Here is a 25,366-nt window from a genome sequence, read left to right on the forward strand (position 1 = left end):
TCCCCATTTCCCCTCCACTCAGCCCTTCTCCTGCTGCCCTTCCAGGATGAAAACAACTCATCTCTGCTGAATAACTACGTCCTGGGGGCCCAGCTGAGTCATGGGCACGTGAACAACCTCAGGGATCCTGTGAACATCAGCTTCTGGCACAACCAAAGCCTGGTACTGCTGGGGGCGCCCCCGTTTCCACTGCACCCCTGCCCCTCTGTGACTCTCCTGTTGAACACTGGTTTGACTAGACCCAAACCTGTGGAACCATCTTGGAAATCCATCACACTTTGAAAATTCCTGCTCAAGAAATAAGAGAGAGAGAAGTTTTTACTCATGCATTTGTCAGAATTCTTTCAGTTGCAAGTAAGAAAAGACCACTTCAAGCCAGCTTGAGCACAGAGGGAACTGATTGGCACACATCCATGAAATGTCTAGAGGTGATCCACCAGCTTCAGACATAGCTGGATCCAGGGATGGATCTGATGCCCTTGTGGCTCAGTCTCTCTCCGTCTCAGCAATGGTCTCCTGTCTTGGCTGTCCATTCTGTGGCATGATGGATGCTGGAGAGCCAGACTTCCTTTCCCTCTTCCCATCAGGCTCTTCCCCCGACTCCCCACCCACAACCTGCCCCAGTGCAGATCAGGGTCTCAGGATCTTAAAGGTTCAGCTGGGTCACACATGTCCATCCCTGCACCTGTCACTGTGCCCAGGGGGATGGAATGTGTGGATTGGCCAGGCCTGGGTCACACGGCCCAGGGACTGGGGTGAAGGAGTGAGCTCCTAGGGTAAGTGCAGATGCTGATCCTGGAACAGAGACAGGGCTGCTTGTTGGGGGTGGGGGCAGAGTGGGGTGGTTCACAAGCCTCAGTGCCTCCATTTCTGGTTCCTGGCATTCCTGAAAAGCCCGGAGCCTCTGCTTTCTGGCTTCATCTTCCCTTCAGCTTCACCAGGACTGCCCTGCACTCTAAATTTCACCATCATCCTTTCCTTTCAGCTCTGGGCTTTTGCCACTATGGTTCCCTCCACCTGGAATGCCCTTGCCCTACTCGTGTTGAAATCCAACACGTCCTCTAAGGGTTCAGGGCCCCCACCTCCCCTTCTCCCTTTGGGTCAGCTCTGCCTACCCTCCATGGTCTTCCGTGACTACCTGTGTCATTTCCTCCACTTCTCCACCCACGTGGCTTGGCATTAGGGTTGTCTGTGGATGAGTCTCCCCCAACCAGGCGTGGGTCTGAGCACATTGCTGTTCCCCATGGGGAGGAAGGGAAGGGATCAGCTGGTTATGGAGCGCCTACTGTATAAAAGGCCAGAGCTGGACACTCAAGATTCCGTGTTGCCCTTTGTTTTTCCACCATTGTTGTAACATGGGTACGAATGATCCTATTCTGTAGATGACTAAACTGAGGCTCAGAGCAACTTGGTGTCTTGCCTGGGTCACTCTGAGAGCCCACAGTGGAGGTGGGACAGGAATCTGAGACTGTCTGAAGCCAAAGGCCAGCCAGTGCCTGGTAAAATGTTGGCAAATGTGCAGTTGAGTCACCGTTGGCCCCCAGGACTCCCAGACACTGATCTGCAGCCTTTCCTCTGCACCCTATGACTGACCCAGCATCTCCACCCAGGAAGGCTACACCCTGACCTGTGTCTTCTGGAAGGAGGGAGCCAGGAAACAGCCCTGGGGGGGCTGGAGCCCTGAGGGCTGTCGTACAGAGCAGCCCTCCCACTCTCAGGTGCTCTGCCGCTGCAACCACCTCACCTACTTTGCTGTTCTCATGGTATGTATGCATCCTGAGTGGGGCTCAGAGCTACAGAGGGCCCTGTGTCTGTGGCAGAGGAGCAAGGCAAAAGCTGGTGCAAGGGACAGAAAGTCCAACTGAAATGGGCTTAAGCAAAAAACAAAAAAAACTTTATGGACTCATGTTTCTGGAAAGGCTGGGTTAGGCTTCAGGCATGGCTTGATCCACGGGCTGATCACTAAGATCACTAAGATAGCACTCTATCTTTGTCCCTCAACTGTGCTTGCTCTGTGCTGGCTTAGCCCTCAAATAGGATCTCCTTATGAGATAATAATATAGCTGGCAGCAGTTCCAGGCTCATGCCCTGCTAGCTTTCAGGCCAGTGGAATAAAATCTTCTTTTACCCAGTTCTGCCAGCCATGTGCTCATCCCTGACCCAATCGCTATAGGCAGAAGGAGGGAGGGCCCTGCTTGACCAGGCCTGGCACCCCTTTCTGCACAAAGAGGGCAAAGTGGTGGAACCCCACAGGTGCATAGGGAGTGGGAGAAGGGAGGCACTCATAGAAGAAGAGGGAGATGGGAGATGTGGAGGGGGCAAAACTGACTGTATCTGCCATGGCCTTGTTCAAGCCAGGTCCATGGCTAGGCTTGTGGGGAAGGGGACTTGGAGAGGAGGCCTCAGGAGGTCCCTCTGACTGAGGCTGGGAGGAAGGGCGATACTATGCTTCTGGCCTCCAGCCCCTCTTCCCTCCTGCAGCAACTCTCCCCAGCCCTGGTCCCTGCAGAGTTGCTGGCACCTCTTACGTACATCTCCCTCGTGGGCTGCAGCATCTCCATCGTGGCCTCGCTGATCACAGTCCTGCTGCACTTCCATTTCAGGTATTCCGCTGCCACAGTGCTGGGCCTGCCCTGCACTGTGGCACATCACGCTTCCTTGTGTCCCATTTAGTCCACTAGAACTGGGTGTGCTTCTCCAGAGGGTGGGGACCAGGAGGCGGGAGACCAGCCTTGTGGTGCGACTGCTGTGGGATCCCTGCCCCTTCTTCGCCTCAGTTTCCCTGTCGGCATGCACCTATGCACCCAGTGGGTAGTGCTGCCTGGGTGATGTCCCTGGGCCATGGAGGACCATTCTCTCACCTGCAGGAAGCAGAGTGACTCCTTAACACGCATCCACATGAACCTGCATGCCTCCGTGCTGCTCCTGAACATCGCCTTCCTGCTGAGCCCCGCATTCGCAATGTCTCCTGTGCCCGGGTCAGCATGCACGGCTCTGGCCGCTGCCCTGCACTACGCGCTGCTCAGCTGCCTCACCTGGATGGCCATCGAGGGCTTCAACCTCTACCTCCTCCTCGGGCGTGTCTACAACATCTACATCCGCAGATATGTGTTCAAGCTTGGTGTGCTAGGCTGGGGTAAGCACATCATCTCTCCTCGCCTCCTCAGACTTCCAGGTGGGCAGGGTATTGATCCCCTTTAGTCCTTTCTTTCCCCTCCTCCTCATCGTCATAGTGGCCATTACATGACCACCAGCTGTGAACTCTGTCTACACCCACCTCTACTTTCTATGTTACTAATTTTATCACCTCTTCCACCTCCATCATCATCATCGTCACCTCCTCCACCACCATTATCACCTCCTCCACCTTCATTATCACCATCACCTCCTCCACCTCCTCCACCACCATTATCACCTCCTCCACCTTCATTATCACCATCACCTCCTCCACCTCCATCACCACCATCATCATCTCATCCACCTCTGTTATCGCCATCACCTCCTCCACCTTCATCACCACCATCGTCACCTCCTCCACGTACATCACCACCTTCTTCACCACCATGATCACCTCCTCCACCTCCATCACCACCTCCTCCACCATCATCACCATCATCATCACCTCCTCCACCTCCACCACCTCTTCCACCTCCTTCACCACCACCATCATCTCCTTCACCTCCACCACCACCTCCTCCACCTCCATCACCTCCATCATCACCTCCTCAACCTCCATCATCACCTCTTCCACCTCCATCACCTCCATCACCACCACCTCCACCTCTGTCACCTCCATCACTACCTCCTCCACCTCCATCACCTCCATCACCACCTCCTCCACCTCCATCACCTCCATCACCACCTCCTCCACCATCATCACCTCCATCACCACCTCCTCCACCTCTATCACCTCCGTGATCACCTCCTCCACCTCCGTCATCACCATCATCACCTGCTCCATCTCCTCCACCTCTATCACCACCATCATCACCTCCTCCACCTTCATCATCACCATCACCTCCTCCACCTCCATCACCACCATCACCATCTCCTCCACCTCCGTTATCGCCATCACCTCCTCCACCTTCATCACCACCATCATCACCTCCTCCACGTACATCACCACCTTCTTCACCACCATGATCACCTCCTCCACCTCCATCACCACCTCCTCCACCTTCATCACCATCGTCATCACCTCCTCCACCTCCACCACCTCCTCCACTTCCTTCACCACCACCATCATCTCCTTCACCTCCACCACCACCTCCTCCACCTCCATCACCTCCATCATCACCTCCTCCACCTCCATCATCATCACCTCCACCTCCATCATCTCCATCACCACCACCTCCACCTCCATCACCTCCATCACCACCTCCTCCACCTCCATCAACTCCATCACCACCTCCTCCACCTCTATCACCTCCATGATCACCTCCTCCACTTCCGTCATCACTATCATCACCTGCTCCATCTCCTCCACCTCTATCACCACCATCATCACCTCCTCCACCTCCATCATCACCATCACTTCCTCCATCTCCTCCACCTCTATCATCACCATTATCACCTCCTCTACCTCCATCATCACCATCGCCTCCTCCATCTCCTCCACCTCTATCATCGCCATCATCACCTCCTCCACCTTCATCATCACCATCATCACCTCCTCCATCTCCTCCACCTCTGTCACCACCATCATCACCTCCTCCACCTCTATCACCATCGTCATCACATCCTCCATCTCCTCCACCTCTGTCATCACCATCGTCACCTCCTCCACCTCCATCATCACCATCACCTCCTCCATCTCCTCCACCTCTATCATCATCATTACCTCCTCCACGTCTATCATCACCGTCACCTCCTCCATCTTCTCCACCTCTGTCATCACCATCATCTCCTCCACCTGCACTATCACCATCATCACCTCCATCTCCTCCACCTCCATCAGCACCATCATCACCTCCTCTACCTCCATTACCGCCTTCATTTTCTCTACCTCCTTCACCACCATCACCACCTACTCCACCTCCATCTCCACCATCATCACTTCCTCCACCTTCTCTATCTCCAGCAGCACCATCACTGGTACCTTCATCACCGTCCTTGCCCCTTTCTTGCTTATTTCTATTTCCTCAGCAGTTCCCCAGTCCTCCCTCCCATTTGCTCCCCACCACCACCTTCCCAGTGTGACCACTCCTCCCTCCACCACTGTTCCATCGTAGAGCCGTCACTAACATCATCTTGGAGGAGAGCTTCCTCCAAACCACCAGGCTCATTGCTCTGAAGTTGGGGGCTCACAACAGTCTCCTCTCAGTTGTCCCTTGACCAGTGAAATTCTGTGTCAGCAGCCCCAGGGACCGCCCCAGGGACCGAGGGTCAGCCCTCTCCCACATCTCCTGAGCCTTTGTCCCACCCCTCAGGGGCCCCAGCCCTCCTGGTGCTGCTTTCCCTCTCTGTCAAGAGCTCGGTATACGGACCCTGCACAATCCCCGTCTTCGACAGCTGGGAGAATGGCACAGGCTTCCAGAACATGTCCATGTGAGTGCCCTCAGGGCTGCAGTGGGCTCCCTGGCTCTGGCAGAAGGGCCACATGGGCCTGGGGCTCCAAATGGAATATCCTGTAGGCAAAGCACTGGCTGTGGGGCAGAGAGGGAGCTGGGGCTTAGACAGGGGAGTTTGCAGGGGGCTCCACCACATCCCTTCCATGGATCCAGGTCTCCTGCAGAGGCAGCCTTGTGTTCTATGCTGGTGAAGTCTACGAAGCCAGCGTCTGCTCGCCAACCTGCCAGGGCAGCCGGGCCTCCCGCCTCCTCTGTCCTGCCCTGCCCTCCAGTGCCCAGGCCCTGAGGGTCTGGCTCAGCCTGCACTTGACTCTGTTCCCCTGCAGACCACCTTGCTGCACCTACCCAGGCTCCAACTCCTCCCGACCTGCCCTGGGCACTGCCAGGCCTCTCAAGTCCTCCTAGTCGGACAAGAGTGCTGTGGGGGCTGGGCTTGGGGGAGACAAAGAGAGGCAGCGAGGTGGGCCTTTAGGGGCCGGGGGACACGCTGCTGCTTTTTTTTTAATAGCCCCTCCCTGCAGGCGAGGACGTTAAGCTTTTTATTATTATGCAACATTTCTAATAGCCAGACATAGACTAGCCTAAGGAACCCCCGCGCGCCCATCACTCACTTGCAGTTGGCTGTGGAACCTTTTTCCTTCTTGGCTGATGCAGGCTCAGGATGGGGGCTGATTCTGTGGCAGGCCTTGGGTATCAGCTGGCTTCGTTTTCACAAGGGCAAGGGCCGGGTCCTGTTGCCAGCCCTATTTTACAGTTAGGGCACCTGAGAAACAGGCAGCTTAAGAACTCTACCTGAGGAGCCCTAGCCAGTCAGTGGCAGAGCTGGGGCTTGGTCTCCGGCAGGCTGGTCCAGAGCCTGGCCCCCAGCCCCTGAAGCAGGGCCGGGGGACTGCGTGCTACATAGGTGGGGCTGATCCCTCTCACATTGAGGCTCGGGTGTATCAGAGGACATGTGACTTCAATTTACATGAATTGTTCTCTGCAATCTCCATGACAACCCATAAGGCAAGTACATAATCATCCCCAACCTACAGATGAGGAAATAGAGGCTCTGGCCTCAGTTTACATACTCTCTGAAGATGTATTTTCTTTTTTTTCTTTTTTTTTTTTTTTTGAGATGGAGTTTCGCTCTTGTTGCCCAGGCTGGAGTGCAATGGTGTGATCTCGGCTCACTGCAACCTCTGCCTCCTGGGTTCAAGCGATTCTCCTGTGAGTAGCTGGGATTACAGGCGCGTGCCACCACGCTCAGTTAATTTTTGTATTTTTAGTAGAGACAGAGTTTCAGCATGTTGGCCAGACTGGTCTCAACTTCTGACCTCAGGTGATCCGTCTGCCTTGACCTCCCAAAGTGCTGGGATTACAGGCGTGAACACTATGCCCAGCCTATTTTCTTATATAATAATATGATGAGGACAAAGGAGCTTTAGTGACACGTCCACAGGACCCACTAATGCACAGATGTTAGAGAACACCCACCTACGAGCCAGCTTCTCCCTGGGTCTTCCTCACTCTGCCCTCTCCTCTCAGGAAACAATTACCTTGGGGTTTGTGACTTTTTTTTTTTTTAATTTAAAACATCTCTTACTATGTATATACACATTCCTAAACCCAAACATCAGTTAAAAACCAAAAACAGGCCAGGCGTGGTGGCTCACGCCTGTAATCCCAGCACTTTGAGAGGCTGAGGTAGGCAGATCATGAGGTCAGGAGATCAAGACCATCCTGGCTAACACAGTGAAACCCCGTCTCTATTAAAAATACAAAAAATTAGCTGGGCGTGGTGGCAGGCACCTGTAGTCCCAGTTACTCGGGAGGCTGAGGCAGGAGAATGGCGTGAACCTGGGAGGTGGAGCTTGCAGTGAGCTGAGATCGCCACTGCACTCCAGCCTGGGCGACAGCGAGACTCTGACTCAAACAAACAAACAAATAAAAAACACATCCTGGCCAACATGGAGAAATCCCATCTTTACTAAAAATACAAAAATTAGCCAGACATGGTAGCGGGTGCCTGTAATCCCAGCTACTCAGGAGGCTGAGTCAGGAGAATCGCTTGAACCCGGGAGGTGGAGATTGCAGTGAGCCGAGATTGCGGCACTGCACTCCAGCCTGGAGACAGAGCGAGACTCCGTCTCAAAAAACAAAACAAAACAAATACAACCCTTGAAAATCATTCAGATGTCCACTGACGGGATGCTGGATGAATGGACTGCAGTAGAGCTGCCCCCGTGGGGATATTCCCTAGCGGTGAAAGTGAGTGGTCGCCTACCACACTCATCAACTTGGAGGAATCCCAAAATAATGTCCTGGGACCCTTGTGACTGTAGGGGCAGGAGCCACAAAGTGAACCTCAGCAGGGGATTGTGACAGTTAGGGGCTCAGGCTCTGGGCCTGGGGCTTCAGGATCCAGCTTTGCCTCTAACTGGACTGTGTTCCTGAGCTAGAGCCTGAGTTTCCTCATCTGCAGGATGAGGACGATTATGTACTTGCCTTATGGGTTGTCATGGGGATTGCAGGGGACAAGTCACATAAAGCACATCGTTACTGGTGGAGGGTGTCCAGGTTCTTGGCGTCTTGAACCAAGAATTGGACAAGCCTGGGCATGGTGGCTCGTGCCTGTAATCCCAGGACTTTGGAAGGCCGAGGCAGGTGGATCAACTGAGGTCAGGAGTTCGAGATCAACCTGGACAACACGGTGAAACCCTGTCTTTACTAAAAATACACAAAAATTAGCTGGGCGTGGTGTCAGGATTCTGTAGTTCCAGCTACTCAGGAGGCTGAGAGAGGAGAATTGCTTGAACCTGGGAGGCGGAGGTTGCAGTGAGCCAAGATCACATCACTGCACTCCAGCCTGGTGACAGAGACTCCCTCTCAAAAAAAAAAAAAAAAAAAGGAAAGAGTGAGGCATGAATTAAGCAAGAAAAGCAGAGATTGATTGAAAATGAAAGTACACGCTACAGTGTGGGAGTGGGCCAGAGCATAGGGCCTCAAGAGCCCTATTACAGAATTTGTGGAGATTTAAATATGCTCTAGAGGTTTCCATTGGTTACTTGATGTACACCCTCTGTAAATGAGGAGGATGAAGTAAAGTTACAAAGTCATTTGGCATATGCCCTATGTAAATGGAGAGGATATTTTCTGTCATAGCTGAAGTGTTTCCATTTGATTTATTTTTATTTATTTTGAGATGGAATCTCGCTCTGTCACCCAGGCTAGAGTGCAGTGGTGCGATCTCGGCTCACTGCAACCTCTGCCTCTCGGGTTCAAGTGATTCTCCTGCCTCAGCCTCCCGAGCAGCTGGGATTACAGGCACCTGCCACCACGCCCAGCTAATTTTTGTATTTTTAGTACAGACGGGGTTTCACCATGTTGGCCAGGATGGTCTCCAACTCCTGACCTCAAGTGATTCGCCCACCTCGGCCTCCCAAAGTGCTGAGATTACAGGCATGAGCCACCGCGCCTGGCCTCCATTTGATTTAGTTCTAGGAAGTCCTTACATTTCCCTGTCTCTAAACCCTTTTCTCCTGCCTCAGCATGACATTGTGTCCGACTAAAAGGTGGCATCTGTCTTGAAGGTGTCTTGGGGAGGCAAAGGGCAGAGGCCTCCGGGAGGGCGTGGGACCGGGGCTGGCTTCGGTTAGTTCTCCATGGCTCTCTGCTCAGCCCTCAGTGGGCTCTCCTGCGGCTCTGTGTGCTCTCAGGTTGACACTTGGAGGGTCCCTGTCCACCAAGCCACAGGTTGGCAGCCCGCCCACTCTCCAGCGCAGGCCTTGGTGGCCCCGTCTAGGTGGGGAGTGGCTCCTGGGGAGGGGCGTCCCACTGCAGAGATGGTGATGAGGTGGTGACAACCATGTAGTGGGGTGGAAGGGGAAGTTTCCAGGAAAGAGGGCTCCGGGCCAAGGATCCAATAGAAGATGGGGCATGCCGGCCTTGGGCTGGCCATGGAAGCAGAGAGGAGTGAGATGTGGAAAGGAGAGAGGAAGAATTTTCAGGGGGGTGAAGACATGGGGACGTGAGAGAAACCACTGTGGCTGGAAAGGTGGGCATGAGGGAGCTTCAGATTGTTGACCAAGGAGGCAGATGTGTCCTCTGATGGTGGCCTGGCTGGAAAGCCGGGTGAGGGGTTTCACTGTGTGTTCAGTCAGGCAAGAAACAATAGGGCCTGAGCCAGGAGACCGAGTGGGGCTTCAGGGAGTGATGCTGGCCTCCCCGCGGGCCTGGGAGCCACTGTGAGCCTGACACGTCACCCTCCCCTGCAGATGCTGGGTGCGGAGCCCCGTGGTGCACAGTGTCCTGGTCATGGGCTACGGCGGCCTCACGTCCCTCTTCAACCTGGTGGTGCTGGCCTGGGCGCTGTGGACCCTGCGCAGGCTGCGGGAGCGGGCGGATGCACCAAGTGTCAGGGCCTGCCATGACACTGTCACTGTGCTGGGCCTCACCGTGCTGCTGGGAACCACCTGGGCCTTGGCCTTCTTTTCTTTTGGCGTCTTCCTGCTGCCCCAGCTGTTCCTCTTCACCATCTTAAACTCGCTCTACGGTAGGGCTGGAGGGCGGCCTGGAGGAAGCTACCTGGCAGGGGGTGTATGGCTGGTGGGATGTTCACTGCTAAAGGGGTTCAGGTGAAGGGGGCGAGTGGGGGACTAACATCCAGCCCACAGCTCCACTAGCTAAGCTGGTGGGGGCTACATCTGCATGAAGGTACCCTATGGACTGGCCACAGCAGCTCTTCCAGCTCTGAGGCTCTGCCCCTCTGGCCTCCTACAGTAAGAGATTCTGGGAGTTGCCCATGGGCCCCAGGGAGGCCAGCTCGCTGCAGCCAAGGAGACCCTGGCCTTTGGGGAAGCCCATGCTGCCCCGTGGAACTCCCGCCTTTCTCTTGCAGGTTTCTTCCTTTTCCTGTGGTTCTGCTCCCAGCGGTGCCGCTCAGAAGCAGAGGCCAAGGCACAGATAGAGGCCTTCAGCTCCTCCCAAACAACACAGTAGTCCGGGCCTCCTGGCCTGGAATCCTCAGCCTCTCTGGCCGCCAGTAGCCTGAGGCTACGGCTCCTGCTAGAGAGGGTGGCAGGCCTGCTGCTGGACCCCAGAGGCCACTGTGACCGCCAAGGGGCCTTTTCCACTTCCACGGCCTCTCCAGGCACTGAGGGGAAGGCATTGCTCTACCTCTCCCTGACATTTTGCTCCGGGGCAGATCCAACCTTACCTGGGGCAGCAAACTTTGTCCTGGTACCTGGGCCCAGCTCGCCAGGGATGTGGGCAGAGCACCAGCCTGGGCATCAGGAAGCCAAGTTTCAAGGACTGTCTTTGAGTCTGTCTGTATGACCTTGGGCCTGCCACTTCTCACAGACCCTAGGTATCCACAGCTGTGACATGGGGGCAAGCGGCTTTGTTTCAGCCTAACCCAGGAGCTTAGTAAAAATTGCATAAGACCAGGGGGAAGAGTGTCAGCGTGGGGTGGGAATTCCCGCGGCCTCCACCTGCTTGCTAGGGGCAGGATCTCATTCAGGCTGCCCTGGAAGCACCTGCTTGGCCCTGCCACCTTCCTCCAGGGGAGGGCCAGATGGCATCCTGGCTTGGGGCGGGTGGGACCTACCCAGGCTCTGAGACTTTACTGGCCTATGCCTGAGGCCTCTTTTCCTTTAACTCCCTAAATTATGATGACTCCAAGTCCAAGCCCACCCTTCCCAAAGATTGGGAGGTTCCGCCGTTCCCAGAGGCTCCTCCTGCGGTGCTCCCAAGACTTCCATAGACCATCTGGACCAGTAGCCCATCCCGCAGTTTTCTTGGGGGCAGAGGAAAACGCTTCTTTCTCCTCCAGCTGAATCAGCTGGATCCCAGTGTCCTGGCTGTTTGGTGATTGGGCAAGATTGAATTTGCCCAGGTAGGCGTGAGAGTGTGGGTTTTAAATTCGAAGCTCAGGCCATAGTTTCAGAGAATCACCCTTACCCCAGACCTTCATGAGACAGTGCTCATGAAGCCAGTGCGTTTCCCAGAACGAACACTAGGCGGCACCGTTGGTCCACACTCAGAGGCCCTTGGCGCCAAGACTGCATCTAGAATCGCTCAAACACCTGTTTGCAGACCCCATGCACCAGCTGGAGGGGCCGTAACTGCAGGACTGCGCCTACTGAGTGACCCATTTCCTCCAGGAGGAAAGGCAAGACACGCTTACACGGCCATTTGTCTCTTTTCCCAATGCGGCGGTGCACTTTCGCTCTTGGGGGCTGCACCCCAGACATAGCTGGCACCAGAGCAGGGTGCTCAGGTGGTGGGTGCTCAGGGCCCTGCCCCAGGCCACTGGGCCGTTTTGATGACCTCGAAGGTCACAGGCAGAAAATAGGAGCAGGATTTCCCCTGGGGAAAAGTTCTCCTGGGACATCTTCTGCTCTTCTGTACATTTCTAGATGCAAATAACTCCTTCACCAGGCAGTGAGTGGCGTAGGCTCTGGAGCCAGGCTGCCTGGGCTCCAATGCCAGCTCTGCCACTTGCTAGCTGTGAGACTGTGGACAAACCACTCAGCCTCTGTGTGCCTCAGTTTTCCTATTTGTAAAATAGAGGCCATAGTGGTACCTATTTTGAAGACTAAGTAAAAGAATTCAAATAAAGAGACTTGGCACAGAGTAAGTGCTCAGTAAATGGTTACTGGTATTATCATTAGTATTTTTGCTATTATTGTTAACAGTGTTAACTGAGTTTCAGAGGCCAGCCTGTCTAAGCCCCAGGCCCAGCTCTGCTCAACCTTGTAGGCACAACCCCTTCTTAGGCACATCTCACCATGCCTCAGTTTCTTTCCCCAGACGGGTCTCTACTCCCACCTCGCTGACTTTCTGCTGTTCTAGGAATAGTCCCCACACAGTGCAGCCTCCAGGCCATGCCACATGTCCCCCGACCTCCCAGTTCCCCAATCTTCCGGTCTATAGAAATTCCTGGTGGTCATTTATCACATCTACAAAATTGCCCCAGCGGTGCCTAGAGAAGGCCTCTTTCCCACGCTAACTCCAGGCAGATTCTCCCCACCCCTGCCACCATCTGGGTGATGTGAGCACCCATCCAAGCTCCCATGGTTAAGCCCAGGCTCTCCAGGCCTTGGGGCAGGGGGTCCCCTTGCTAATGAGGGTCCCGAGGAATTATGGGAACCTTTAGCCCTTCTCTTGGGCAGCCCCAGGGAGTGGGGACACAGGCTCCTGCTGTGGCTGGGTCTGCATAGAGCCCCCCAGCCCAGGACCCAGCCTCTCAGACCCCACCAAGCCCAGGGCTTGCCCGAGGGAGGATGTGGCCACAGCGACACGGGAGGAGACTGGCAGTTCCAGGAAGCAGCCCCAAGCTTGTGGCCCTGAGCCCCACTGGGGTCCAGGCCCTGGGCAGGGACCACTTCCTGGAAATGTCTCACTGGGTGTGGGGGAGGGACTGAGGGAGATAGTGTGGAGCCAGGCAGGGCCCCTCTTCCCCCTTCCTCTCTCTCCCAGCAGAGCCCAGATGGGGCCCTGGGGCCAGCTCTTGGGAGCTTCCAGACTTAGCAGGAGGATGGAATGGGGTGGAGTCTGGGGGCTGTTGTTCAGGGCCAGGGACTCAGAGCAGGCACTTGGTGAACGGATGCCATGTAAATGTCAACAGGACCACAGATTAGGAGATTTCTGTGTGTGGTTTTGTTAGTGTTATTTCAGAAAAGGGTGTGTGCATGTGTGTGTATGGGGGGGCTATTGAAAATAGGGTTGCCAGATAAAATATCAGATGCCCAATTTGGGAGACGTACTAAAACATTATTCATTGTTTACCTGGATTCACATGTAGCAGGGTATCCTATTATTGATGTATTTTGATTTTGCTAAACCTGGAAGCTCTAATGAGAAGAGCATTGGCTCAGGAGTCCGGGGTGTGGACTCTTCACTCTCTAAATCCACCCAGGCTGTGCTGAGGGGGAAGCCCCTCTGCCCACTGGATGAGTCCCCCTCATTCACAGCCCACTCAGCTTGAGGTGTTCCTATTGCCAGCCAAAGCCACCACCAGAAATCCCAAGGGGTCTGCCTTGGGTGTCCCCACCCCTGCTGTCAGCCCTGGCGCAGACCTAGCCCCCATCCCCTGTAGAGGCGCCATGGACCTCCCTGCCTCCCCACTCCCAATTCCAAATTCACCCAGAAGCCAGAGGGTGTTTTCCATCCTGCAGCCTGCCCGTGTCCACCCCTGCGGAAGCCCTTCCACAGCACCCCCTCTTCATTGCCACACTCCCCAGTGGAACTTGAAAGGCCCACGGTCCGGCTTGTGTCCCCCTCTCCAGCCGTGTCTTACCACTCCTTCCCCCTCCTCCTCGGTGCTGCCACACTGAACAGCTTTCGGTTCCCTGAACAGGTTCTTTCTCATCTCTGGGCTGTTCTCTGTCTGGAAGGCTCTCCCTGTGTGTCTCATTTGTGGAGTGATGGCGACACATCCTTCAAATCTCAGCCTTGCACATCCTCATTCCCCTCAATGCAGACTTCAAATCTAGGGTGGGGCCTCCTTTCAGCCCCACCACTCCCGCCCTTCCCCCATGACAGACGTTATTTCTTTGTATTATGACTGTCCCCATCTGTCTCAGCTGCCAGACCGAGGGCATTTTGGAGACAGGTGCTGTGTCTCATTGGCTCATTCATTCACCCATCATGTAATTGTTAAACACTTGTTATATTCCAGGCACTGTACTAGTTGCTGAGGATATATAAATGAACAAGTCATCACATTCTTGTGGGGGAGGAATGTCTCACACTAAACAGTTTAACAAATAGACATAAGATATGACAGGTGGCGACAAGTGCTGAGAAGAAAAATTGAGGAGGGTGAGGGAGTAGAGTGGCCAAGAGCCTGGGTTTCAGCAGAGGGAGCTGGAGAATGAACCCAGGGGCGCTGGAGCTGGGGGCGTGGGAGAGTGTCAGAGAGCTGGCATGAACTGGCAGGTTGCCTGGAGGGGAGGGCTGGTTCCAAAGCCAGTCTTATAGCAATTTTTCCATTTCTTGATAGTGAACTTTGGAAGAGCTAGGGGTGGGGAAGATGGGAAGTTGAACCACCTCTGAGATAAAACTCTCTGAGGGGGCTGAGGTGGTCCTGGGTTGGGGTGCCCCCTGCTACTGGCAAGAGAGAAGCAAACTCAATATGGAGGTAAGCTTCCCTTGGTTAGGCCAGGAGGATGCCCAGAGTGAGACGAAGCAATGGGCTTCAATATAAAACTTACCCAAATCACAAAGTAAGCCACCGAGTGAGAGTCGGCAGAAAAGAAGGAAGCAACAGATTTTAGACCCCAGGGACGGAATACAGAATAGCCATATATGACACGTTTAAAGAAACACAAGATGCAATCGCAAAGATGAGCATATAAACGAATAGAAATGAAGAGAGACAGAGAGATTTGGGGGAAAACAAATGGAACTTCAAGAAATAAAAAGTATTATCTCAAGTTGGATGTGGTGGCTCATGCCTTTAATCCTAGTGACTCAAGAGGCTGAGGCGGGAGGATCACTTGAGGCCAGGAGTTTGAGACCACCCTGGGCAACATAGCAAGACCCCTGTCTCTATAAAAATCAAAAAAATTAGCCAGGCATGGTGGGGCACACCTGTAGTTCCAGCTACTTGGGAGGCTGAGGCGGGAGGATTGCTTGAGCCCAGGCGTTTGCGGCTGCAGTGAGCCGTAGTCACTCCACTGCACTCAAGCCTGAGTGGCAGAGCAAGACCTTGTCTCTACTAAAAAAAAAAACATAAAAAACTCTCAAAATCTAAAATTCAACAAACAAACAGTTGAATAGAGAATTAATTAGCCCAGCGTGGTGGCATGTGCCTGTAGTCCCAGCTACTCAGGAAGCTAAGGTGGGAGGATGGTTTGAGCCTGGGAGGCAGAGTTTGCAGTGAGCCGAGATTGCACCACTGCACCCCAGCCTGGGTGATAGGGCCAGGCCTTGTCTTAACAACAACAACAGAAAAAAAAAAAAAAGAGAGAGAGAGACAATTAATAAGCCTGGACTTATATACATAAAGCATGCAACAGAGATAAGAAGATGGATAACATGAAAAGAGATTAAGAGATATAGAGAATAAGAATGAGAAGATCTTATATATTGGAGTCCCAAAAGAAGAAAATAAAGGGAATGGGAAAGAGGTGGTATTTGAAGATGAAATGGCTGCAGGTTTTCCAGAAGCGATGGAAAAACACAGTCTCAGAACCAGGAAACACGAAATATCTCAAGCATAATACATAAATCCATGCTTATACACATTTTATTGAAACTACAGAATGTCAGAGGGAGAGAAACGATGAAAGCAGGCAAAGAGAAAGGACAGATTGCCTACCAACGACCACAGAACGTGAGCTGGCTCCTCAACCACCGTGACAGAAGCTAGGAGGCAGCAGTAATAGCTTTAAAGTGATGACAGCAAATAAATGTCCACTTAGAAGTGTGTCCAGCAGGGGCCAGGTGCTGTGGTTCACGCTTGTAATCCCAGCACTTTCGGAGGCCGAGGTGGGCAGATCACCTGAGGTCAAGAGTTTGAGACCAGCCTGGCCAACATGACGAAACCCCGTCTTTACTAAAAATACAAAATTAGCCAGGTGTGGTGGTGCACGCCTGTAATCCCAGCTACTTGGGAGGCTGAGGCAGGAGAATCGCTTGAACCTGGGAGGCAGAGGTTGCAGTGAGCCAAGATTGCGCCACTGCACTCCAGCCTGGGCGACAAGAGCAAAACTCCGTCTGAAAAAAAAAAAAAAAAAAAAAGAAGTGTCCAGCAAAACTGTTACTGGTGGAAGGTATCCGAGTTACCGTTGGTGAATCCGTCTGGATCTGCAGCAACCTCTTGCCTCCTCAGAAGAAAGAGTTTGACTGAGGGGTATAAGGCAGAAGGAGAGACTGAGGTAAGTTTCAGAGCAGGAGTCAAAGTTTATTGAAAAGCTTTAGGGCCGGGAGCAGTGGCTCACGCCTGTAATTCCAGCACTTTGGGAGGCCAAGGCGGGTGGATCACTTGAGGTCAGGAGTTTGAGACCCCCCTGGCCAAACATGGTGAAACCCCATCTCTACTAGTAAAAACACAAAAATTAGCTGGGCCTGGTGGTGGGCGCCTGTAATCCCAGCTACTCGGGAGGCTGAGGCAGGAGAATTGCTTGAACCCAGGAGGCAGAGGTTGCAGCGAGCAGAGATGGCGCCACTGCACTCCATCCAGCCTGGGCAACAGAGCGAGACTCTGTCTCAATAAACAAAACAAAACAAAGAGCTTTAGAACAGTAAGGAAAGGAAGGAGAAGAAAAGTACAATGTGGAAGAAGGCCAAGTGGTTGACCTGAGAAACCGAGTGCGCAGCTTGGCCTCTTGACTTGGGGTTTGATACCTTGGCATACTTCCAGGATCTTGGAAGTAAGCTGCTTCCCACTCCGGAGATCTTACTGGGAAGCTGCTGATCAGTTGCAGGTGTTTTCTATTAGGAGACTGCCTTTCCCCCGTACTGGCTGTGACCAATTACTAAACAGAAACAGTTAACAACCACTTGACCACCACCTGATGGTCACCCAGCACTCCTAGTGTGTGTGTGTGTGTGTGTGTGTGTGTGTGTGTGTGTGTGTGTGTGTGTGTGTGTTGGGGGGAAGTCCTTTCCTGCCCTGCTCATACCTAACTAGCTACCTACTGTAATAAAGCTACCATTCAGGAACCAAGACAAAAAGGAAAAAAATACATTTAACATTTACAGGTAAATAAAAGCTGAGAATGAGCCAAAGAAACTCCCGAAGGATGTACCTCAAGAAGGAAGATGATTCCAGGTCAGCCTAAGATGCAAGAAGAAGGAATGGTGAGGTTAGAAAATGGTAAAAGGCTGGGTACAGTGGCTCACACCCATAATCCCAGCACTTTGGGGGACCAAGGTGAGAGGAGAGCATGAGTCCAGGAGTTCAAGACCAGCCTGGGCAACATGGTAAAACCTCGTCTCTACTAAAAATACAAAAATTAGCCAGGCATGGTGGTGTACACCTGTAGTCCAGGCGACTTGGGAGGCTGAGATGGTAGGGTCACCTGAGCCCAGGGAGGTCAAGGCTACAGGGAGCGGTGATTGTGCCACTGCTCTCCAGCCTGGGTGACAGAGTGAGACCGTGTCTCAAAAATAAATAAATTTAAAAAATAGTTAAGTGTAGCTAAAGCCAATCCAAAAATCATCTGTATAAAATAATAATTTTATTTGTGATATTAAGAAGAAGGAATGTGAAATGTTGGAGAATAATAGTGTATAAATCAGGAAAAGTAAGACTGGAGTTACAGTGTCCTAAAGTGTTAGCTAGCATTTGTGCGGAGGGGTAGGGAGGGTGTTAAGATATTGTTTAATATGAGATATCATTAATTAAATACACGTGGTAAAACTTCAAGGGTTTAATTGCCTTTAGCTCAAAAAAAGCAATTTCAAGGGCAACAACTGAAAAAAAAAATAAAACTGGAATGTAGACATTTTATTCCAGTAGAGAGAAAAAAGTGGGGTAGATAAAACAATCAAATAAAACTCAAAGAAAAAGAAACAAAAAGTGGAACTAATAGAAATCCAAAAGTAAGATAATACAAACATACCCAAATATATCTATAATTATAATAAATATAAATGGACTAAATGGATCAGTTAAAAGGCAGGAGATATTAAGATTGAATGCAAAAACAAAACCCAGGTATATGCCATTCATAAGAAACGCAGCTCAAGTAAAAGGACATGGAAATGTTGAAAGTAAAAAGATGAATCAAGGCTGGGTGTAGTGGCTCACACCTATAATCCCAACACTTTGGGAGGTTGAGGAAGGAGGATCGCTTGAGCCTAGGCATTCATGACCAGCCTGGGTAACACAGTGAGACCTCATTTCTAAAAAAAAAAAAAAAAAAATTTGAAAATCAGCAATGCTTAGTGGTATGCACCTGTAGTCCCAGCCACTTTGGAGGCTGAGGCAGGAGGATCACTTGAGCCCTGGAAGTGAAGGCAGCAATGAGCTGTGATCATACCACTGCACTCCAGCCTGGGCAACACAGTAAGACTGTCTCAAAAAAAGAAGAAGAAAAAAAAAGATGAATCAAGATATGTGAAGGAAAAAATAACCAAATGAGAGACTGTGTAGCAATTTTGATATAAAACAAAATATGTTTTAAAGCACAATGCACTAATAGAGATGATCACAACATAATGATACAGTGTTTAATTCACCAAGAAGATATAATAAAGTAGCCTTAAAAGGTATAAGGCAAAAATTGGGCCGGGCGTGGTGGCTCACGCCTGTAATCCCAGCACTTTGGGAGGCTGAGGTGGGCAGATCACGAGGTCAGGAGATCAAGACCATCCTGGCTGAATGGTGAAACCCTGTCTCTACTAAAAATACAAAAAATTAGCCGGGCATGGTGGCACGTGCCTGTAGTCCCAGATACTCAGGAGGCTGAGGCAGGAAAATGGTGTGAACCCGGGAGGTGGAGGTTGCAGTGAGCTGAGATCACACCATTGTACTCCAGCCTGGGTGACAGAGTGAGACTCTGTCTAAAAAAAAAAAAAAAAAAAAAAAAAAGTATGAGGCAAAAATTGAAAGAAGTTTTTAAAACTCTACATAATTGGAGAGTTATGCCATATCTATGAATTGGAAGACTCAATATTGTTAAGTTGAAAGGATTCCCTAAACTGGGGAGATTCAATGATATCCCAAGCAAAATCACAACAGACTTTTTTCCCCACAAAGGCACAAAGGCAATTTAATGGAGGTAAAGGATAATCTTTTCAACAAATGGTACTGGAACAAATAAGCGTCTATACGCAAACAATATGAACCTCGACCCATATCTCATACCATGGACAAAAATTAAACGAATCATAGATCTAAACATAAAGTACAAAGCTATAATACCTCTAGAAGAAAACATAGGCAAAAATCACTGTGACTGTGGTTAGACAAACAAATCTTAGGACACAAAAGCAGGCAAAAATAGATAAACTAGACTTCATTCATAGAGAAACCAGACCTATTTATAAAAAATAGATAAACTAGACCTCACCTCTGCTTTTCAGAAGACACTCTTAAGGAGAAATAAAACAAAAAACTAGAAGAAAAGCTTTGCAAAAATACATATCTGACAAAGGACTTATATCCAGAATAAATAAGAACTCACATGCCAGGTGCGGTGGCTCACACCTGTAATCCTAGCACTTTGGGAGGCTGAGGTGGGCAGATCACCTGAGGTCAGGAGTTCAAGACCAGCCTGGCCAACATGGTGAAATCCCATCTCTACTAAAAATACAAAAATTAGCCAGGTGTGGTGGTGCATGCCAGTAATCCCAGCTACTTGGGAGGCTGAGGAAGGAGAATCGCTTGAACCCGGGAGGCAGAGGTTGTAGTGCACCAGATCGTGCCACTGCACTCCAGCCTGGGCGACAAGAGCGAAACTCTGTCTCAGAAAAAAAAAAAGGAAAAAAGAACTCTTACAACTAAAAAAAATATAATCAAATAAAAGATGGACAAAAGGCTTGAACAGACCTGTCACCAGTGAAGGGATATGAATGGAAAAGAAGCACATGAAAAGATGCTCAACATCTTTAATTATAAAGGAGATGCAAATTAAAGCCACAATGAGAATATGCTATACATCTATTAGTAAACTACATAAAAAACAAACACAAAACCCCAAATTGACTATACCAAGTGCTAACCAGGGTACAAAGCCGCTGGCACTGTCATACACTGCTGGTGGAAATACACATGGTACAGTCACTTTGGAAAACAGGTTGACAGTTTCTCACAAGTTAAATATACACCAACTTTATGCTCTAGCAATCCCACTCCTAGATATTTCTCCAGAGAAATAAAAACACGTCTGCACTGATACCTGTATGCAAACATTTAAAACATAACAGCTCTACTGAGACATAGTTCATATACCATAAAGTTAACCTTTAAAGTTTTCCATGTGGTGGTTGTGGTTATGAAACCATTACCACTGTCTAAGTTTGGAACTTTTTCATCATTCCAAAGAAAGACCTCACACTCGTTAGCAGTAACTCCTCACTTCTCTCTCCTCCCAGACCCTGGCAAACTATCTGCTTTCTATCTCTGTGAATTTGCCTATTCTGGACATTAATTATTCAATATAAATGGAATCACATATATCACAAGTAGAATATTTTGTTTGGAGCTTTTTTTCTTAGCATGATATTTTCAAGGTTCATTTATGTTGTAGAACATATCAGAATTTCGTTCATTTTTTGGCTGAGTAATATTCCACTGTGAATATACCACATTTTGTTTAACAATTCATCTGTTTTTTTTTTTTTTTTTTGAGACAGAGTCTTGCTCTGTTACCCAGGCTGGAGGGCAGTGATGCAAACACGGCTCACCGTAGCCTTGACTTCTTGGGTTCAAGTGATCTTTCCACCTCAGCCTCCCAAGCAGCTGGGACTACAGGCGCATGCCACCACGCCCAGCTAAATCTTTTATTTTTTGTAGTGACAAGCCAAACTACTGGCCTCAAGGAATCCCTCTGCCTTGGTGGCCCAAAGTGCTGGTATTACAGGTGTGAGCCACCAAACCCGGCCTGGGACTTTTTTTTTTTTTTTTTTTTTTTTTGAGATAGAGTCTTGTTCTGTCCCCCAAGCTGGAGAACAGTGACACAATCTCGGCTCACTGCACCCTATGCCTCCCAGTTTCATGTGATTCTCCTGCCTCAGCCTCCCCAAGTAGCTGGGACTACAGGTGTGTGCTACCATGCCCGGCTAATTTTTGTATTTTTAGTAGAGACGAGTTTTGCCATCTTAGTCAGTCTGGTCTTGAACTCCTTACCTCAGGTGATCCTCCCGCCTCAGTCTCCCAAAGTGCTGGGATTACAGGTATGAGCCATCACGCCTGGCTGGGACTTTTTAAGCTATTAAAAATATAATGTATTCTGAGAGTGGTGGTGATTGCATAACTGTATATATAAAAACTCACAGAACTGTTTAAAAAGTAAATTGTATTGTGTTTAAATTTACTCCAAAAAACTTGACTTTTAAAAGTTGATAGAGGCCGGGCCCAGTGGCTCATGCCTGTAATCCCAGCACTTTGGGAGACTGAAGCGGGCGGATCACGAGGTCAGGAGTTTGAGACCAGCCCAATCAACATGGTGAAACCCTGTCTCTACTAAAAACACGAAAATTAGCCGGGCGTGGTGGCACATGCCTGTAGTCCCAGCTACTCAGGAGGCTGAGGCAGGAGAATCGCTTGAACCTGGGAGGTGGAGGTTGCAGTGAGCTGAGATTGCACCATTGCGCTCCAGCCTGGGTGACACAGCGAGACTACATTTCAAAAAAGAAAAAAAATTGATAGAATAAGGAGAAACTGACAAATCTACCATCAGTGTGGCATATTTAAAATGCTCCTCTTAACTATTGATAGCAAAGCTGAAAAAAATAGCAAAGATTTGAACAACAGGAGTAACAAACTTGATCCAATGGACAGTGATTGAATCTCACCTTCCACAGTTAGGCGCTCCCCAAGCAATCATGGACCATTTACAAAAATTGATTGTATACCAGATTAGAAAGCAAGTTCCAAAGCATTTCAAAGAGGTACAGGTTGATTATCCCTTACCCAGAATGCTTGGGACCAGCAGTGCTTTGGATTTTGGATTTTCTTTTTTTGTATTTGGAATATTTGCATTATATACTTACTGGTTCAGCATCCCTAACCTGAAAAATTGAAATCCAAAAGGGTCCAATGAGCATTTCTTTTCTTTTCATTTTCTTTCTTTCCTTCCCTCCTTCCTTCCTTCATTCCCTCCCTCCCTCCCTCCCTTCCTTCCCCCTCTCTTTCTTTCCCTTTCCCTCTTTCCTTTTCTTTCTTTCTTTCTTTTTCTTTCTTTCTTTCTTTCTTTCTTTCTTTCTTTCTTTCTTTCTTTCTTTCTTTCTTTTTCTTTCTCTCTCTCTTTCTTTCTTTCTCTCTTTCCTCTCTTTCTCTTCTCTCTCTCTCTTCTCCTCCCATCCCCCCCTCTGTTTCTTTTTTTGAGACAGAGTCTTGATGTGTTGGCCAGGGTGGAGTACAGTGGCACTATCATAGCTCAACAAATCTACTGGGCTCAAGGGATCCTCCTACCTCATTCTCCTGAGTAACTGGGACTACAGGTGTGCGCCACCACACCTGACTAATTTTTAAAATTTTGCAGAGACAGGGTCTCACTATGTTGCCCAGGTTGGTCTTGAACTCCTGGGCTCAAGTGATCCTCTCACCTCAACATCTCAAAGTGCTGGGATTACAGGCGTGAGCTACTGTGTCCAACCCCAATGAGCATTTGAGTGTCATGTCTGTGCTTTAAAAGTTTTTAATTTTGGGCCGGGTGTGGTGTCTCACGCCTGTAATCGCAGCACTTTGGGAGGCTGAAGTGGGCAGCCTTGAGTGAACTCCTGAACTTGAGATCAGGAGTTCAAGACTAGCCTAGTCAACATGGCAAAACCCTGTTTCTACTAAAAATAGAAAAATTAGCTGGGCATGGTGGTGCACACCTGTGGTCCCAGCTACTCGGGAGGCTGAGGCAGGAGAATCACTTGAACCCAGGAGGCAGAGGTTGCAGTGAGCCAAGATTGTGCCACTGCACTCCAGCCTGGGTGACAAAGCGAGACCCTGTCTCAAAACAACAACAACAACAACAATCACAACAAACAAATAAAAAATAAAAGTTTTGAATTTTCGAGCATTTTGGATTTTGGATTTTCAGATTAGAGATACTTAGCCTGTATTTGATAGAGGACATTCTTTGATCATGATGCAATGAAGTTAGAGGGTAATAACAAAAATACAATTTAAAAAATCCCATATATTTAGGAATTTGTCACAGAGATCAACAAATTGACCAAAGAAACAGAGAAGAAAGCCCCGAGGCAGATGCAGGCATACGTGGAGCTCTGACCTATGCCAGTGGGAACATGTCAGATCAGTGTGCAAGAGGGACTATTCATTACTCAGAGTGGGTAAAATTGGTTGTTCACGTGAGGGGAAAGTGCAGTTGGATCACTACCTTACAGCATAACCGAGAATCAGTTCTAAATGGATTAATAATAGAGGTACAACTTTAACACAGTTTGGAGAAAACATAGGTTAATATCTTTCTGCCTTCAGGGAAATAATTGTTAAATAAAATACACCAAAAAGCATTAACTGTGATAAAATAATTGATACAATTAAAAAATAACAATTTTGTTTCCCCAAAGATACCTTAAAGCAAATGAGAAGACAAGCTAAATCTGGGAGGAGACATATACACATATACATGCATAATCAGGATTGGTATCAAAAACCCCTATGAACTAGCAAGAAAAGGAAAAATGTGCAAAAAAGCCATGAACCAGCATTTCACCAAAGATGAAACAGCTATGGCCAAAAATTATGACAAGATGCTTAATTAAGCCCACTGGCTATTAGGCACGTGGAAGTCAAGACCACAACGAGACATCATCTTTCACGCATTTGATGGGTAAACATTATGATGTCTGACACTGCTAAATGTTGGCGAGGACGTGGATCAACAGGAACTCTCAAAATTGCTGGTGAGAGTGTAATTAGTTCAAGCACTTTGGAAAAGCAGTTTGGCATTTCTCTTCGTGTAGAGCAGGGGGCCCCAACCCCCAGGCCATGAACTGGCTGGGGAGGAAACATTATCACCTGAGCCCCACCTCCTGTCAGATCAGTGGTAGCGTTAGGCTCTCATAGGACTGAGAACCCTATTGTGAACTGTGCATGTGAGGGATTTAGGTTGTGGGCTCCTTATGAGAATCTAATGCCTGATGATCTGAGGCAGAACAGTTTCATCCTGAAACCATTCCCCACTCTGCCCCCCGAATCTGTGGAAAAATTGTCTTCCATGAAACCAGTCCCTGGTGCCCAAAAGGTTGGGGATCACTGGTATAGAGGCACACTGGCACACCTATGCTCTGGCAAATCTACCTCCCAATTATATCTAAGGGGAAGCCTTGCAGTGTTCCTAGAGATGCACCTGAGAATGTTCATAACAGCGTTGTTAGTAATCACAGAAACAGCCCGACTTCCCCTTGATAGGAGAGTGGCCTTGTGGTATCGTCACAGAACACAGCATTCTAAACCTCTGAAAGCAAATGGACCGCAGCTACCGGCCACAGCGTGGGCAAAGCTAAGACACATAAATGCTGATAAAAAAAAAAAAAAAAGTTCCAGCGACTACAGTTTCATACCTTTAAAAAATTTACTTATTTATTTTACTTTTTTTTTTTTTTTTTGAGGCAGACTCTTACTCTATTGCCCAGGCTGGATTCCAGTGGTGTGACCTTGGCTCATTGCAACCTCCACCTCCTGGGTTCAAGCAATTCTTCTGCTTCAGCTTCCCGAATAGCTGGGACTACAGGTGCTCACCACCATGCTCAGCTAATTTTTGTATTTTTAGTAGAGATGGGATTTTACCATGGAGGCCATGTGATCCTCCCGCCTGAGCCTCTGGAGTAGCTGGGACTACAAGCACACCACCACACCCAGCTTTTTTTTTTTTTTTTTTTTGTAGAGATGGGGGTCTCACTATGTTGCCCAGGCTGAGATTACAGGCATGAGCCACCACACTTGGTCAATACCATTTTTTTTTTTTTTTGGAGACAGTGTCTTGCCCTGTCACACCCAGGCTGGAGCACAGGGGTGCAATCTTGGCTCACTGCAACCTCTGTATTCCAGGCTCAGGCAATTCTCCTGCCTCAGCCTCCCAAGTAGCTGGGGTTATAGGCGTGTGCCACCATACCTGGCTAATTTTTTGTATTTTTAGTAGAGACTGATTTTTACCATGTTAGCCGGGCTGGTCTCAAAC

At 49.7% G+C, this 25,366-nt stretch overlaps 1 protein-coding gene and 1 long non-coding RNA gene across 10 annotated transcripts in view, besides 3 other annotated features; one reads left to right on the plus strand and one right to left on the minus strand.

Annotated features, from left to right (window-relative positions):
• Positions 1-12,201, plus strand: part of ADGRG5 (adhesion G protein-coupled receptor G5) — a 48,117-nt gene extending 35,916 nt beyond the window's left edge. For 6 of the 8 annotated variants that reach the window (XM_047433776.1, XM_011522949.3, NM_153837.4 and 3 more), the window contains 7 exons: positions 46-162; positions 1,611-1,763; positions 2,482-2,603; positions 2,868-3,136; positions 5,430-5,547; positions 9,827-10,104; positions 10,450-12,201. In XM_047433776.1, the coding sequence (XP_047289732.1) occupies positions 46-162; positions 1,611-1,763; positions 2,482-2,603; positions 2,868-3,136; positions 5,430-5,547; positions 9,827-10,104; positions 10,450-10,550 (1,158 nt within the window). In that variant the 3' untranslated portion in view covers positions 10,551-12,201. Of the gene's footprint in view, positions 1-45; positions 163-1,610; positions 1,764-2,481; positions 2,604-2,867; positions 3,137-5,429; positions 5,548-9,826; positions 10,105-10,449 lie in introns of those variants that run through there. The other 2 variants (NM_001318481.2, XM_047433778.1) reach the window with 2 other exon arrangements.
• LOC105371291 (uncharacterized) overlaps positions 301-25,366 on the minus strand; it is a 41,734-nt gene continuing 16,668 nt past the window's right edge. Inside the window, exons 2-4 of one of the 2 annotated variants that reach the window (XR_933627.4) lie at positions 6,182-6,313; positions 5,487-5,645; positions 301-2,861 (exon numbers count right to left, since the gene is read on the minus strand). This is a non-coding gene — a long non-coding RNA (uncharacterized LOC105371291). Of the gene's footprint in view, positions 2,862-5,486; positions 5,646-6,181; positions 6,334-25,366 lie in introns of both variants that reach the window. The other variant, XR_933626.4, reaches the window with a different exon arrangement.
• Positions 10,231-10,400: an enhancer, noted in NCBI's record as "experimental_43740 CRE fragment used in MPRA reporter constructs". NCBI's record gives its function as "activates a minimal promoter by MPRAs in K562 erythroleukemia cells, with activity observed for the introgressed 16:57609216 variant allele {active_cell/tissue: K562}" and the evidence as "EXISTENCE:reporter gene assay evidence [ECO:0000049][PMID:34662402]".
• Positions 11,447-11,516: a silencer, noted in NCBI's record as "silent region_7533". NCBI's record gives its function as "represses an Ori minimal core promoter by ATAC-STARR-seq in GM12878 lymphoblastoid cells {active_cell/tissue: GM12878}" and the evidence as "EXISTENCE:reporter gene assay evidence [ECO:0000049][PMID:35858748]".
• Positions 24,651-24,720: a silencer, noted in NCBI's record as "silent region_7534". NCBI's record gives its function as "represses an Ori minimal core promoter by ATAC-STARR-seq in GM12878 lymphoblastoid cells {active_cell/tissue: GM12878}" and the evidence as "EXISTENCE:reporter gene assay evidence [ECO:0000049][PMID:35858748]".

Source organism: Homo sapiens, chromosome 16, assembly GCF_000001405.40.
Source record: "Homo sapiens chromosome 16, GRCh38.p14 Primary Assembly".
NCBI lineage: Eukaryota > Metazoa > Chordata > Mammalia > Primates > Hominidae > Homo > Homo sapiens.